The sequence below is a fragment of the Homo sapiens genome, chromosome 11 (assembly GCF_000001405.40).
Source record: "Homo sapiens chromosome 11, GRCh38.p14 Primary Assembly".
NCBI classification, from domain to species: Eukaryota; Metazoa; Chordata; class Mammalia; order Primates; family Hominidae; genus Homo; species Homo sapiens.
The window spans coordinates 68,080,855-68,096,021 of record NC_000011.10 but is presented as its reverse complement, the minus strand read 5'-3'; the positions used below and the strand labels follow the sequence as shown (position 1 = coordinate 68,096,021).

Below are 15,167 nucleotides of genomic sequence, written 5' to 3'. Positions count from 1 at the left end.
GTAGCTCAGGCTGGAATGCAGTGGCACGATCTCGGCTCACTGCAGCCTCTGCCTCCCGGGTTCAAGCCATTCTCCTGCCTCAGCTTTCCGAGTAGCTGGGATTATGGGTGTGCCACTACACCCGCCTAATTTTTGTATTTTTAGTAGAGACAGGGTTTCACCATGTTGGCCAGGCTGGTCTCAAACTTGTGACCTCAGGTGATCTGCCCGCCTCACCCTCTCGCGGTGCTGGGATTACAGGTGTGAGCCACCACGCCTGGCCTGTGGTAGGATTTTGATACCTGTTGTTTTTTTTTTTTTTTTTTTTTTTTTTGCGACGGAGTCTTGCTCTGTCACCCAGGCTGGTGTGCAGTGGTGCAATCTCGGCTTACTGCAAACTCTGCCTCCCGGGTTCACGCCATTCTCCTGCCTCAGCCTCCTGAGTAGCTGGGACTACAGGTGCCTGCCACCACGCCTGGCTCACTTTTTGTATTTTTAGTAGAGACGGGGTTTCACCGTGTTAGCCAGGATGGTCTCGATCTCCTGACCTCGTGATCCGTCCACCTTGGCCTCCAAAGTGCTGGGATTATAGGTGTGAGCCACCGTGCCTGGCTTTTTTTTTTTTTTTTTTTTTTTTTTTGAGATGGAGTCTTGCTCTGTTGCCCAGGCTGGAGTGCAGTGGTGCAATCTCAGCTCACTGCAAGCTGCGCCTCCTGGGTTCACGCCATTCTCCTGCCTCAGCCTTTCAAGTAGCTGGGACTACAGGTGTCCGCCACCACGCCTGGCTAATTTTTGTATTTTTAGTAGAGATGAGGTTTCACCATGTTAGCCAGGATGGTTTCGATCTCCTGACCTTGTGACCTGCCCGCCTTGGCCTCACAAAGTACTGGGATTACAGGCATGAGCCACCGCGCCTGGCCCTGATATCCATTTTAATCTTCTTTGGAAGGGCCCATTTTTATCTTAATGAAATAGAGCAGAGTAGTTTTCAAACTAAATTTTTTAAAAGACCGGCCTATTTCAGCTCAATCTAAAAAGTAGATCATATCCATATGATATTTGATTATATGTTTAGAAATATTAAAGTTCAAATTGGCAGTCTAGATGTTAATTCATTAAAAAAATTGTCATAATGTGAAGAAACCCTTTAATTGGATAGCTTTTCCTTGACTCTGTCAAGCTGTGGAAATGGTTAAGATCTAAAAATGCTGGGAACAAGTTAGTATGTTTGAAGGTACGTAGCTATTCCACACACGTGTGCACTTGCTGAGGATATCTGAGGTCACTTTGTCATTAGGTGCAGATAGCTGGCATCCAGCTAGGACAACAGTTGATGCCAGCTGAAAACACAGACCCCTTGCTGTTAATACACAAGCAGAAAAGATTCTTGTGTTCACCATGCAGCTTGGGTTTTAAATTTAATCAGGTTGCAGTTTCAAAGTATAGTTTTTGAAATCTTTCATCATTATTTTGGCACTTTTACTGGTGTGCCTTTATTTTTTGAGACAGGATCTCACTTTGCCACCCAGGCTGTAGTGTAGTGGCACAACCATGGCTCACTGCAGCCTCGACCTCCTGGGCTCAGGTGATCCTCCCACCTCAGCCTCCTGAGTAGCTGGGACTACAGGAGTGAGCCACCACGCCCAGCTAATTTTGTATTTTTTGTAGAGGCAGGGTTTCACCATGTTTCCCAGGATGGTCTCAAACTCCTGGCCTTAAGTGATGCACCCGTCTAGTCCTCTCAAAATGCTAGGATTACAGGCATGAACCACTGCACTTGGCCTGCTATGTCTTGATAGTCATTTTTTCTTTGAGGACTGTTTACGTTCTGCAACGATTAAGTCCCATTTCTGCTGTTTTTTGTGTTTTGCATTTATACAACACTTTTACAATAATAAGTAGATGCTGAAATTACATGTGATTTAAAACTATTGTTTAAATCTGATTTATGAGGCTTTCATTTCTAACTTAAGAAGCATTTTAAATGTGTTACAAGGTGCTCCTCTGTGGGCTAGACTAACCTGGGAGTTTAATCCTGTGCTCTAGAACAGTGCTATAGTGATGGGAGTAATGGAGGGTTCTGCATCTGTGCTGTCTGATACACTCGTCATCAGCCACATGTCACTAACGAATATGTGGAATGTGGCAAGTGTGGCTGTTGAACTGAGTTTTAAATTGTTTTTAATTTTAATTAATTTAAATTAAAATAGTCACATGTAGCTCGTGGCCACTGTATTGGACAGCCCAACTCTAGAATGTTCTGGTTTATTATATGAGTCACTTAGTAAAAGCCAGCTGCAGCATAGCCTACTACTTGGCAATTAGCCTTCCTCTAATAAAGATTCATTGTCAATTGTTAGTCTTTCTTCCATTTTGAAATTTTAGCAGTCTGGAAGTAGTACCTGACAGTAGTTAAATACAGTAGAAATGTCTGGAAATAAAATTTGTTTGAACAGAATTCTATGTCCCGATTTATTTCTAAGAAAAAAGACTATTAAGTAACTAAGAAAAATAAAAAGAATAATTTAAGCCACTTAAAATGTAATTAGCTCTTACCAAACTAATAGAATGGAGTATGTTTTACATATAATTCCAATTTGGGGGGAGGAGGTACCCTACATTTAGCTTCTCAGTTATATTTTTATTAGGCAAATGTTAAATGAGTTTCCATTCCTGAAGCTATATCTACTGATGTAAGGTAGAAACCATACTTGAAAGCACCTTGGATAGAAAGGGAAATTAGGGCTGGTCATGGTGGCTCACTCCTGTAATTCCAACACTTTGGGAGGCCAAGGCAGGTGGATTGCTTGAGTCCAGGAGTTTGAAACCAGCCTGGGCAACATGGCCAAACCCTATCTCTATAAAAAAATAGCTGGGCGTGGTGGCATGTGCCTGTGGTCCCAGCAACTTTGGAGGCTGAGGTGAGAAGATCTCTTAAGCCCAGGAGGTGGAGATTGCAGTGAGCCAAGATCATGCCACTGCACTGCAGCCTGGGGGACAGAGAGAGACCCCGTCTCAAAAAAAAAAAAAAAAAACCCAAAAAAAACTGGATGGGAAATTAGTAGTTTTCTATACGGATAATAAGCATACCTCTAACAATCTGACAGTTGACATAGACAACAAACTGATTTTTGTTAGAAAAAAACTATTTCTTTGCTTCTTAGGTGGGAATCTATATTTTCAATATAATTATTCAGTTGGTCGAGTCCTTAGTTCAAACACACTTTTTTGGTTGTAGTTTAAACTTAGGAAACCATGAAGCCTAGAGTCTCAGAGTTAAGTATATTTGGTTTCCTAGCTCTGCAGAGTTTAGCAGTCATACTTGTTGCCAGTTAAGAGTTTCAGATATTAATGGCCATTGGAGACTGTTGGTCATTGGGAGTACTGTGACAACATGAGGAGGGGAACCAAAATCAAGAACTCCAAAAGATGGCTATGGTACAAAAGAAGCAAAGTAGAGAACAGGCTTAGAAGCTTCTAAGATGCGAGCCAGGCAACAGCTGCTGTGTGCTTTAGAAGCTGAGCTGCCACACACTGTGCCGAGGATTTTAAATTCCTTTCCAAATATTTTCAAATCAGCTTTAAAGTTTCTATTATTTATTTTTGCTGTGATCTAGCTGTGATGAAATTGCTAATGTATAGCCAGCTCTTTAGAATGAATCTGGCCTATAATGGAAGGAGATATTTATGGTCTACAATGAGGGTTTTGTTCCTATCACAACAAAAAAAGCCAGAATTTATGATAAATTGTCAGGATTGATAAAAAATTGTCAAGATTTGCATTAATTGAGAGATGTGGCTGAGCAAATACAGAGCCCCCAATAATAAATCACATCATGGTTAAAGAGAGAATTAAATATAGTATGACTCAAGTCTTCTGCTTTCCTTCTTTTTGCTCTACCTTATGGGAAAGCATACACATATCCTATACATGTATGTGTACTTATACAATATAACTGGTATCTCCCAAGCCAACTTTATAAATGCAGCTATAATGTCCTTTAAGATGGGTTAGAATTCACTCCTTCTTTGAAAAATGTTAATTGAAGTCTACTGCACAAATAATAGGTCTATGTATTTTTTCAGAGTATTTTGCATTTTTCCTTAATTATATGACAGATTTAGTTTAGTATGTCCCTTCTTTCCATTTCTCTTCCTTGTTTTTAGCTTTTGAACATTTTACCTCTGTGAGAATCAGAGGTGGTAACATTTTACACGTTCTTTGATCAGCAAATGATTTACAGGTGACTTGGTTTAAAATAACTAGATGATTCTCAACTTTCTCATTTTTCTTCATCTTGGCATTATAAGATGTCTGATTTCCTTTATTTCCATAGTGACACTGAAATGACTGCTCTTTGGTACAGTTCTCTAAGGGTTAAGTGCCAGAAAGCCAAGGTAAAACTTTCTGATTGGGTTCAGCTCCACAGCTTCTGTCCCACAAACATCTGTCTCTTCTAGCCCCTATTTCTATCTAAGATGAGACGGAAACAAACTTCCTGACTGTATCCTGGAGTTTTTGTTTAGTATTTGTGTTAGTTTTAGGGTGCTTATGAAAATTCCTGTGTTTGGCAAGGTCAAGAATGGGTCCTTTTGAAAATATGAACAAGATAAGACACACACAACTATACAATATTATTTGTAGGAAATTATTAAACATAAAAATATTGGTCTGATCTTAATGCATGTGAGTATAATTTAGCGTCTGTTTTACATAGACTGTCTTTAATTTTAATGGAAATGAGATTATTTTCATTAGCTACATAGATTATGAAAACCAAACTCAACTGTAAAACTACCCTGAACTAAAGGAGGATAATTTAATAGAAGTTTTGAGAAGTAATAGTTCAGCCTTTGCATTGTGGAAAGAGATAGAATTGCTAGAAGAGAGCGTAAATGTATAAAATTAGCTATAAATGTAACTTGATTTTTTTCCTTTCTGATACTGGGAAGGAACATGAGCTCTGCAACGTCCAGTAGCAGCCTTTTCAGAGAAGCAAGTTTGGCTGATTACAAATAACCAGTTTGCTTATTTATCATGAATTGTGGAAGACACAAATGTCAGTACGTATTGTTCATTCAATGTAACCTGTGCCAGTTGGCGGAAGTCTCAGAGGATTGCTTTGTCCCTTCCTCTGTCAGAACAGTGACTCTGTGTTAAGCCACTTCCTTCTGTGCATGAGTGGAGAGATTTGGCCTCACCGTTATGAGCGGTCTCACAGGCATGAACGTTTATAATACACATCAAAGATCTCTCTTGAATGTTGTCTGGAAAATTGTTTTTGTTTGTTTTTTGAGTAATAGAAGGCTAATATTAGTGCTTGTTTGAGTACTAACCATAATAAAGGCATCAAGGCACAACGCAGATATGTATTAGCAACTTAAAAGAGTCAAATTTGAGACACTGTCCTTTTTAAATCTAGAAAACAAATGTCTTCCTCCCTATTTTCTCTTAGCCCCAGTTTAATTAAAAATTAAGCCACAATAAAATATGGAATAACTCATAAATAGTTAATATTAAACTACCAGCTACTGAGAAATCAGCTGCTAAAACCTATTTCTTTATGTTACTAAGGTCACACCATGCAAAGACCAGCATTGCTGGTACTCCTTGAAGGAGTCATGTCCCTGGTAACTGAATTCTATGAATTGCCACTGTTTTCCTCATTGTGTTAGGATCATTAGGAATTTAAGTTGTTCTGTTCACTCTGCTTTAAAAAAATTCCCTTATACTTTTGAGTATGGTTTAATTCTGTGTTCCTAAGGCAGTCAAAACTTCCTTCTCAGAAGTAAAACATTTTTCTAGTGTTGTGCGTTCCCATTTGGTCTAACCTAATATTTCTTTAGCTGATACTCTCCCAAGATAGTTGCCAAATTACTACCAATAGTCCTTCCATACCTGCTTTGGTGCCTTCTTTTGATAACCAAATAAACCACAGACTACTATGTCTAATTTTTACATATTCAGAGTGTCTTTGTCTTGCTGGTATTAAATGTTTGGGATTTATAGCATGAAGCCAATGCGGATTTCTGGTCCATGGAACGATGGTTTGACCGCAGCCCACCCCTCTTTGGGAAGGAATGTCTTTATGTTGGGTGGAGTGAAGGGCGTTGGGGGTAATGTACCACTTTAGCTGTATGTGCATGTGTTCTCTGCTGCAGGCTTGTCCATGCGATCGTGCCTGGAGCACTCTGGTTTCCAGGTGACAGACACGATTCACGGTATAGTATGAGACCTCTGAAGTTGGAGCATTCTCTACAGCTTTAATTTCTTTCTTTTAGTTCTTGGATTCAAGAATTGCTTTTAAAAAAGAAAGTTGTAATGCTTGTTAAGTAGCACCAGCTACAGTTTGTGCTGTGCTTAAAGAGGTACAGTGATTAAGATTTCAGAATGTTGTGTAATAAATATATCACTTATTTTTTTTGTCCAAAGCAAATCAGATTCCTTTCTTCTGTTTCCTCAGTAGAAAATGACAAACATTTAGGAATTTTAGAAATTTATGGGCCTCAACTTGATAACTTAATTGAAGTAATCAAGTTCTTCCTTCATATCACTTCCAGCATTAAGGAGACACCATATATATTTTGATATTTTGGTCAGAATTAGAAACAAACCTTCTTCTTTGTCCTTACCAGTCAGTATACTTTCATATGTCTTAGCTGGGTACCTGAGACCTTAGGGAGCTCTGCAGTGCTGACTTGATGTAGTGAAGGCACACTTCCCGTAAAAGTGTTGCTTGCAAGTCAACCTTTGGGATACTTAGAGGGAGGGTATTTTATTTAGTCTTGGAAGTCTGAGGAGTGTTGGGTCAGCAGGTTGCCCTAGATCAGACATAGATTTTGAGAAGGTCCTGAAATAGGCCTTTTTAAAACCTGGGCTTCCACTCACCTGTCTTTCTGCTGGCTTGTGTTGCCTAAAGTGTTTTAGAAGTTCTAGTTTCCTACGGATATTCATCAAGTCATCCAATTTTGAAATTATTAATGTCCAAAAAGATCAAGGTGTTTTAGGCTGGTCCTTGGGATAATTGAAGACACTCTAGAGACTACCATAAAATGTTAGAAATCACTTATCTGTTTAAATTCTTGTAATTCATATGTGCTTATTAAATAATCACATAAGCTATACTTTAAATCATTGCATTGAGATCTCACATTTTAATGTGTTCTGTAAAATGTTTTCAGAAAGTGCTAAAAGTGGCCGGGCATAGTGGCTCACACCTGTAATCCCAGCACTTTGGGAGGCTGAGGCGAGTTGGATCACTGAGGTCAGGAGTTCGAGAAAGAATGCTGTAAGAAACCATAAAAGCAAGAAATACGGGATGATTTCATTTTTTTTCATAGAAATCAGGAAGAAGTAAGGTTAGGGTCCATGATAACTCTGAGAAGAAAACATATTGCCAAGAAAATATACTGCAAAATGTTAATTGAAAGAGTCACATAACTCTTTCAATTCTATAGAATTGAACACATTCTATAGAGTCATGGTTCTCATGCTTTTTCCTGCCCCACCTCTCCTGAGATGGAACATAGCTTCATCATCAACAGGGACTTGGCAGGCCAGGGATTATAACAGATGCCACCCCTGTATTAAAAATTATTTCTCTCCTAGAGGGTTGAGTGTGGTGAGATAACCAGGGTGGGTATTAAGGGTCTCCGAAGCCACAGGCTACACAGTAAAGAAGTTCATGCCACTCCAAGACCAAATGGGCATCACAGCTACTGAATTGAATCCGAATGATGCACCATATCCTCCTATTCTCAGGGTGAATACGATGACCTGGGAGTTGTTTCAGTACTCAGCTCAGGAAGATAATACCAGATTAGTAGAAAGATGGATTATTTTCCGAGACCAAAATTTACATATCCTAGAAACTGAGGAAACTGAGTCTAGCTAACAGTAGGAATTTTTTTTTTTTTTTTTTTTTTTTTTTTGAGACAGCCTCCCACTGTCGCCCAAGCTAGAGTGCAATGGCGTGATCTTAGCTCGCGGCAACCTCTGCCTCTCAGGTTCAAGCGATTCTTATGCCTCAGTCCCCTGAGTAGCTGGGATTACAGGCATGTGCCACTATACCTGACTAATTTTTGTATTTTAAGTAGAGACAGGGTTTCACCATGTTGGTCAGGCTGGTCTCAAATTCCCAACCTCAGGTGATCCACCCACCTCGGCCTCCCAACGTGCTGGGATTACAGGCGTGAGCCACTGCACCCAGACAGGATTATTCTTACTTATTTATTTATAGGTCTCAAAGCATTTTTAAAAGGTCACAATCAATCTACCGTTTTATGTAAAGCCTTTAAAAGAGACAGTAAGCTGAATGATCCATTTAGTTATTTTTTGGTGAGGAAGGGGTGGTAGGAAGAAGAGAATGTCATCCATGTTTCTTAATTTTCTTTTTTTGTGTGTATTTTTCTTTTTTTCTATTAAAAAATGGATGGCACAATTTTTTTTCTATAAAAAACCTGTACTCTTATTTATATATCATTTTAGTTCAGCAGCCACCATTATATTTAACATAGTACCTATTTCTATTCTATATTATGATTTTTTTGTGTGTGTGTGTGAGATGAAGTCTCACTCTATTGCCCAGGCTGGAGTGCAGTGGTGTGATCTTGGCTCACTACAATCTCTGCCTCCCAGGTTCAAGCGATTCTCCCGCCTCAGCCTTCCAAGTAGCTGAGATTACAGGCACTTGCCACCAGACCCGGCTAATTTTTTTGTATTTTTAGTAGAGATTGGGTTTCACCATGTTGGCCAGGATGGTTTTGAACTCCTGACCTCAAATGATCCGCCCCCCTCAACCTCCCAAAGTGCTAAGGTTACCAATGTGAGCCACCATGCCTGGCTCATATTATATTATCCATAATTGATAATGATTTCGTTTCTTAAATAGCATTTCCAATTTATTTTGCTATTGATGACATGCTATTCTTTGTAGCTGATTCATCACTTTTTAAAATCTGTCTCACAGCAGCTCATGTAGTATTGGACGTTTAAAGATACTTTGAAGATAAATGTTTTGGGTGTTAAAGATGTTTTAAATGACATTTTTTTTTTTTGAGACGGAGTCTCGCTCTGTCGCCCAGGCTGGAGTGAAGTGGCACGATCTCTGCTCACTGCAAGCTCCGCCTCCCGGGTTCACGCCATTCTCCTGCCTCAGCCTCCCGAGTAGCTGGGACAACAGGCGCCCGCCACCGCGCCAGGCAATTTTTTGTATTTTTAGTAGAGACGGTGTTTCACTGTGTCAGCCAGGATGGTCTCAATCCCCTGACCTCGTGATCCGCCCATCTTGGCCTCCCAAAGTGTTGGGATTACAGGCGTGAGCCACCACGCCCAGCCAAATGACATTTAAATGATAACTATATGTGACTTAATGACACTTTCTTTATGCCGCTTTCACCCATTCTTACTATACACAGACTCTAGGGAAAACTGAGGTGCTGCTTTGTTTTCATCTCCCAAATGGGGCTTTATTCATTTAGTCATAAACCTACTTCCCTCAGTATTAGAGAAGTCTTTCATTAAGTACTGGCCAAATAAGTTTATTCTGTCTGATGGCTTAAATAGGTTAAAAGAAATATACCTGCTATATTGTGGAACATTAGGTAACTTAAAGTAGGTTTTTGAATCCTAAAATCATATAACACAAAATACAATAAAGGGACATCTCTTCCTCCTTGGTCCTGGAGTTGTCTTACCACTTATTGATTTTTTTTATTGTATTTTTATTTTATGAGACAGAGTCTCGCTGTCGCCAGGCTGGGGTGCAGTGGCGCGATCTTGGCTCACTGCAACCTCGGCCTCCTGGGTTCAAGTGATTCTCCTGCCTCAGCTTCCCGAGTAGCTGAGACTTACAGGCGCACATCACCACACCCAGCTAATTTTTGTATTTTTAGTAGAGAAGGGGTTTCACCATGTTGGCAAGGATGGTGTCGATCTCTTGACCTCGTGATCCGCCTGCCTCGGCCTCCCAAAGTGTTGGGATTACAGGCGTGAGCCACCGTGCCTGGCCCATTTTATTTTTAAAGCATGAAGTAGAACATTTTGAAAACCTGTGCTCTGTAATATGAATATTTACTGCTTTTCATAGTCTCATTTAAAATACAAAGCCTAAATAGCCGGGCGTGGTGGCACACACCTGTAATCCCAACTATTCCGGAGGCTGAGGTGGGAGAATCGCTTGAACCCAGGAGGTGGAGGTTGCAGTGAGCTGAGATTGCACCACTGCACTCTAGCCTGGGTGACAGAGTGAGACGCTGTCTCAAAAACAAAAAACAAAACAAACAAAAAAACCCCAAAGCCTTAAATTGCAATTTTGTTAGAAAAGTAACATTTGAAACCTTGTATCAAATGTATTTATTATAAAAATAATACACGCTTTTAAGCACTTTTTAAAGTATAGAAATAAAGTAAAAATGAAAGTCCTCTATTTTCTCATTTTACTCCATAGCTAATATAATTCAGACTTTCAGGAATTTAGTTTTTAAATTTAAAAGTTCTTGGCCAATCAAAAAATCTTTTTCAGGCTGGTCATGGTGGCTCATGCCTGTAATCTCAGCCCTTTGGGAGACTGTGGCAGGAGGATCACTTGAGCTCAGGAATTCAAGAGCAGCCTGGGTAACATAGTGAGATCTTGTCTCTACAAGAAAAAAAAAAAGGCTAGGTATGGTGGCACATGCCTGTGGTCCTGCTACTTGGGAGGCTAATACAGGAGGATTGCTCGACCTGGGGAGGTTGAGGCTGCAGTGAGCCCTATTCCTGCCACTGCACTCCAACCTGAGAGACAGAGCGAGACCCAGTCTCCAAATTTTTTTTTTAAAGTTTCACCTCTTAAAAGCTAACTTTAAAATAGTAAGTATGCCTCCTTTATTAATGCTGTCACTGTAGCCTCATTTGTTTCCTACATCACAGGCTAATGAATATATGACTCTAACTTAAGATTCTCTTGAAAACTAAGCCCAAAATAGGAAGGAAAGAAAGAAGGTGGGAGGAAGCCAGTGGCAATATATTTTTCATTATTGTGTGCCTTTTAAGTGTAGAATTCAGTGGTTTTCAGTGTATTTATGGAGTTGGGTGTCTTAGGCATAATTGAGACATTCTGATTTCTTAGGTCTTGAAATTTCAATGTTTATTTTTTAAAAGTTTTTATTATGGGGAATTTCAGATATACCCTAAAGTAGAAGAGTATAATGAACCCCAGTGTCCATTCCTCATCTTCCCCTCACAGCCAGTCTTCTTCCATCTTTTCCCTCATTTACTCCACCAGGGTTATTTTGAAGCAAATTCCAGATGTTATATTATTCTGTAAATATTTCAGTCTGTATCTATATAAGATGATTTTTTAAAAATGACCACAGTAATGTTCACATTAAAAAAATTTAATAATTACTTAATATTAAATAACCAGTGTTCAAATTTCTAATAAATGTAAAAAGCTTAGTTTTGTTTTATAACTTATAGAGGATAATTTTTATTAACTTGTTAGAGAAAAGTTGGATGTCATACTAAATATTTATACAATGTATTTTAATATCTACTTCAAATGAATTTATGTCACTGAAGTAAAATCCCACGGATTCCTATATATATATACACACATATATATACGTATATATATGTGTATATATATATACACATATATACGTATATGTGTGTATATATATACACATATACGTATATATGTGTATATATATATACACATATATATACGTATATGTGTATATATATACACATGTATATACACATATACGTATATATATGTGTATATATACGTATATATGTATTTTTTTTTTTTTTTGAGTCAGAGTTTTGCTCTTGTCACCCAGGCTGGAGTGCAGTGGCGTGATCTTGGCTCACTACAACCTCTTCTTCCCGGATTCAAGCGATTCTCCTGCCTCAGCCTCCTGAGTAGCTGGGATTACAGGCATGCGCCACTATGCCCGGCTAATTTTTTTGTATTTTTAGTAGAGTTGGAGTTTCACCATGTTGGCCAGGCTGATCTCAAGCTCCTGACCTGAGATGATCCACCTGCCTCAGCCTCCCAAAGTGCTGGGATTACAGGCATGGGCCACCCCCGCCGGCCCCAAAATATATTTAACTTCCTGTCTTCCTGGACGAAAAAGTTATTCTCTTACCTTTCCATGAATATACACTTGGTTTGAGATTTCCTCGTCTTACACTTCTTATTTACAGGACTTAGGGAGCCTGAACATTCTGTACTGAGGAAACAGAACAGAGGGCTGGATATTGCAGAAGTCCATCTTGCCTTCATAATGGTGCTCTTATGGTATAAGTGATGAATTCATCTGGGGGTGGAGTGAGGGAGTGGGCAGGGGAGATTATCATGGATTTACTACCACTTATAGTGCCAATATGTTTAAAAAAAGGAAAGACTTTGGGGCCTCAGCCAATTTTTAACTTTGGATGAAGTAACTTGCTTTTGCGAGCGCCATTAGATAAGGGAAAGGGACTTCTGAAGGCTAAATAACCCATTAACTGTATCTCCCTAAGAAGATACAGTTAGAGTAACAACAGCATAGGAATAACCATAGTCATTTAGAATTGTGTACAGGTCAAATCCCGTTACAACAATTTCAGAAGAGTATCTAACTTATTTGTCTTAAAGCTTATACTGCAAAGTATTAATATGTAATATATCAGATTATAGAACTTTTTTGTTCTTAAGTTTCTTTGGAGAAAAAAACACAAGGACTTTTGAAGGGGCATTTCTAATTAACCCCACAGCCAGCTTCCTTGTTACCAAGACCCTGGATGGGAATTTGCTATCACTGGTTGGCTGCGTGGCACCAGGCAGCTCGTTGGGCTCACTTGCCTCGTGCTATACCACTCCGGAGTGTTCATTTATTCATGCAGCCTAAAAAGTGTAGTGGGCATCGAGATTTGCTTGGTGCTCTGGGAGAAGACTAACATCAATAAAAGACGCAGTCCCTATTCATTAGGAATTTACAGACTGCTTGGAAGAGGCGACCCGCAAAGCAGAGTCTAAGGAACGATGCGGCCACGAGAGTGTTTGGAATTAGGGTGAAGGGAAGCTTTCCAGCGCCTACCACATCGCACATCAAACCATCTGCAAAGATCTGAAAGCATTTTTGTAGTATTTTGATTTTTATAGCTTTCATTGTAACGGGATTTAACCTGTAACATCTTTTCATCAGAGAACTGCAGATTACACAAATGAAAATATCATAAATCCCCATTTGTACTTTCTGTACTTTGTACCAAATGTACTTAACTGTATGCTAAATATAGTATTGAATATGTATCAGTGCAAACGTTAAGAGCCTTTTGCAAATAGATTTATGAACATGGATACTTATTTTGTTTACTTTTATATTACATGTACTGTTTATACAAAACATGCATTAAAACGTCTGTAATGTTATTTCAGTGTGTGATGGATGAGTGGTTGCTTTAAATCACTAGGTTTTTGATTGGTGCTAGAGTAGCTGGTGTTGCTTAACGTGGCATTTTTTTTCCTGTCCACACTTTCCACCCTTGGTACAGGTATTTTTGATAAAGCTGTGGAATGGAAAGGTATGTTTTTCATGGGGTGTTCAAGAATCTGTTACCTTAAATTTTTTTAAAGAGGTTTCCTTTCTGGGATTCCTTTTGTGTCTGGCTTAAGCAGACTTAGTTTAATTTAACAAGTAACATTTTTAGAGGCAGTATTTGAGTATAAAAGTTTGACGTGACACAAGTTTCTGACTTTACTTTTCCCCATTCCCTTATTAAAGATAGTACGAAGGATTTTAAAGCATTTGGGGTGGGGGGTTGCTCTTAAAATATATGATCTGTACCATGAGAAAGAATGTAGCCCAAGGGTTGTTTATGGTAGTTAATGATCTAGTGTGTTGTTATTGCTAGAATCCTGGTTATCATAAATTTGCAATTTCATTGAGGAAAGTGATATAAGTATTTCTTAATATATTAATATATGAAATAATTTTAGAGACTTTATTAAATACACACAGTCCTCTTTATGGTAGAGGAACAGTTCAGCTTGAGCTGGTGACCGGCTGAACTAGAGGGGTTACTCTGGGAAAGTGGCGAGTCGGCAGGGCATGTCTGCACAGATTTTGTGCCAGGTTTCCTGCCTGCACAGCGCTTTCTTCTCTGTCCAAGTTCTGTGCTGACCACAGCTGTCCACAGGCATGTTTACACTCCCTGTTCTTGCAGGTTGACTTGAGAGAACCACGTAGCTAAATTGGTGAGAGACTCAGCCTGACCGCTTGTCTTTAGAAGGCCTGATTGGAAGAGTGCACTCTATTGACTTTCCTCTAACAATGAAATTGTGAAAGGTACATGGGGCGGCTGTGAGACGTGCAGCTATCGGGTCTCACCGGCACATCCCTTTTCTCGTAAAGCAATGAAGCACTTTCTAAGGTGTTGGTACTAGTGCTGGAGGCTGCTGGTGCATTAGATGCTGCCCGTCACATCGGTGGGCTGAGAAACCTTCCTTAAAGACCTGTGATGTTTTGTAAACCCTGACTGTTCTGGTGGTTGCAAAGTTAGTGTCTGTTTAGTGTTCCCCATCTCACCAGAAGTGTTTCCTTTTTCTCATTCATAGAGGTCCTGTAATAAAGAGGGATCCGAACAAGCTCAGAAAGAAAATGAATTTCAAGTAAGTAATTCAGTCTTTCTGCATCTGTGTGAGATGTGAACTAGTGTTAGCCACCCTTCGCTACTCCAGGGCTTGGCAGTGCCTCTTATCTACCCTTGGAAAATCCTGATCTATCTTTCTACGAGGAGGGGCTCTTGGTATATCTATCAGAAGCCACCTTACGGAGACTGAGTGAGCGGTGGGTATTCCTCATTCCTCCTGAGAGTGTAGACTGTGGAAGTTTGGTGTCTTTATGGCAATCGAAACAGCATTCGGATGTTGGCAGATGGCAGCCAGGGGAGCATTCGTGTGTGGTACCTGATGAGGAGGCCCTGGCTGCCGCTGCTGTGATGCCTCTCTCACCCCCTTTCTGGTCGTTCCCACACTTCCCATCAGGAAGCGGGTCACTGCCCAGTGGTTTTGGTGGCCACCCATTTTCCATGGGCTAACAGCAATGTTTTTTCCTATGGATGATACCCAAGTTGGAAAAGCTTCTTCCTAGACTTAGAGAATGTGACCCCACTCTCTGAAACACACATGTGCAGATGGCTTGAGGCCAAGAGCACTGAC

At 39.8% G+C, this 15,167-nt stretch overlaps 1 protein-coding gene across 16 annotated transcripts in view, besides 2 other annotated features; it reads left to right on the top strand.

Annotated features, from left to right (window-relative positions):
* CHKA (choline kinase alpha) overlaps positions 1–15,167 on the top strand; it is a 68,530-nt gene that overhangs the window by 25,367 nt on the left and 27,996 nt on the right. For 6 of the 16 annotated variants that reach the window (NR_164782.1, NM_001376221.1, NM_001376220.1 and 3 more), the window contains exon 3: positions 14,565–14,618. The exons of 4 other annotated variants lie outside the window; for them this stretch is intronic. Coding sequence is in view for 7 of the 12 variants with exons in the window: in NM_001376221.1 (NP_001363150.1) it covers positions 14,565–14,618 (54 nt within the window). In the remaining 5 variants the exon portion in view is untranslated. Of the gene's footprint in view, positions 1–6,141; positions 6,202–7,912; positions 14,296–14,564; positions 14,619–15,167 lie in introns of those variants that run through there. 6 more of the 16 variants (XM_047426322.1, XM_047426319.1, XM_047426321.1 and 3 more) reach the window with 5 other exon arrangements.
* Positions 1,760–1,889: a silencer, noted in NCBI's record as "fragment chr11:67861600-67861729 (GRCh37/hg19 assembly coordinates)". NCBI's record gives its function as "represses an EF-1alpha promoter that drives an FKBP-Casp9 reporter gene in an ReSE screen in phorbol 12-myristate 13-acetate-treated (for megakaryocytic differentiation) K562 erythroleukemia cells {active_cell/tissue: K562(+PMA)}" and the evidence as "EXISTENCE:reporter gene assay evidence [ECO:0000049][PMID:32094911]".
* Positions 12,740–12,917: a silencer, noted in NCBI's record as "fragment chr11:67850572-67850749 (GRCh37/hg19 assembly coordinates)". NCBI's record gives its function as "represses an EF-1alpha promoter that drives an FKBP-Casp9 reporter gene in an ReSE screen in K562 erythroleukemia cells {active_cell/tissue: K562}" and the evidence as "EXISTENCE:reporter gene assay evidence [ECO:0000049][PMID:32094911]".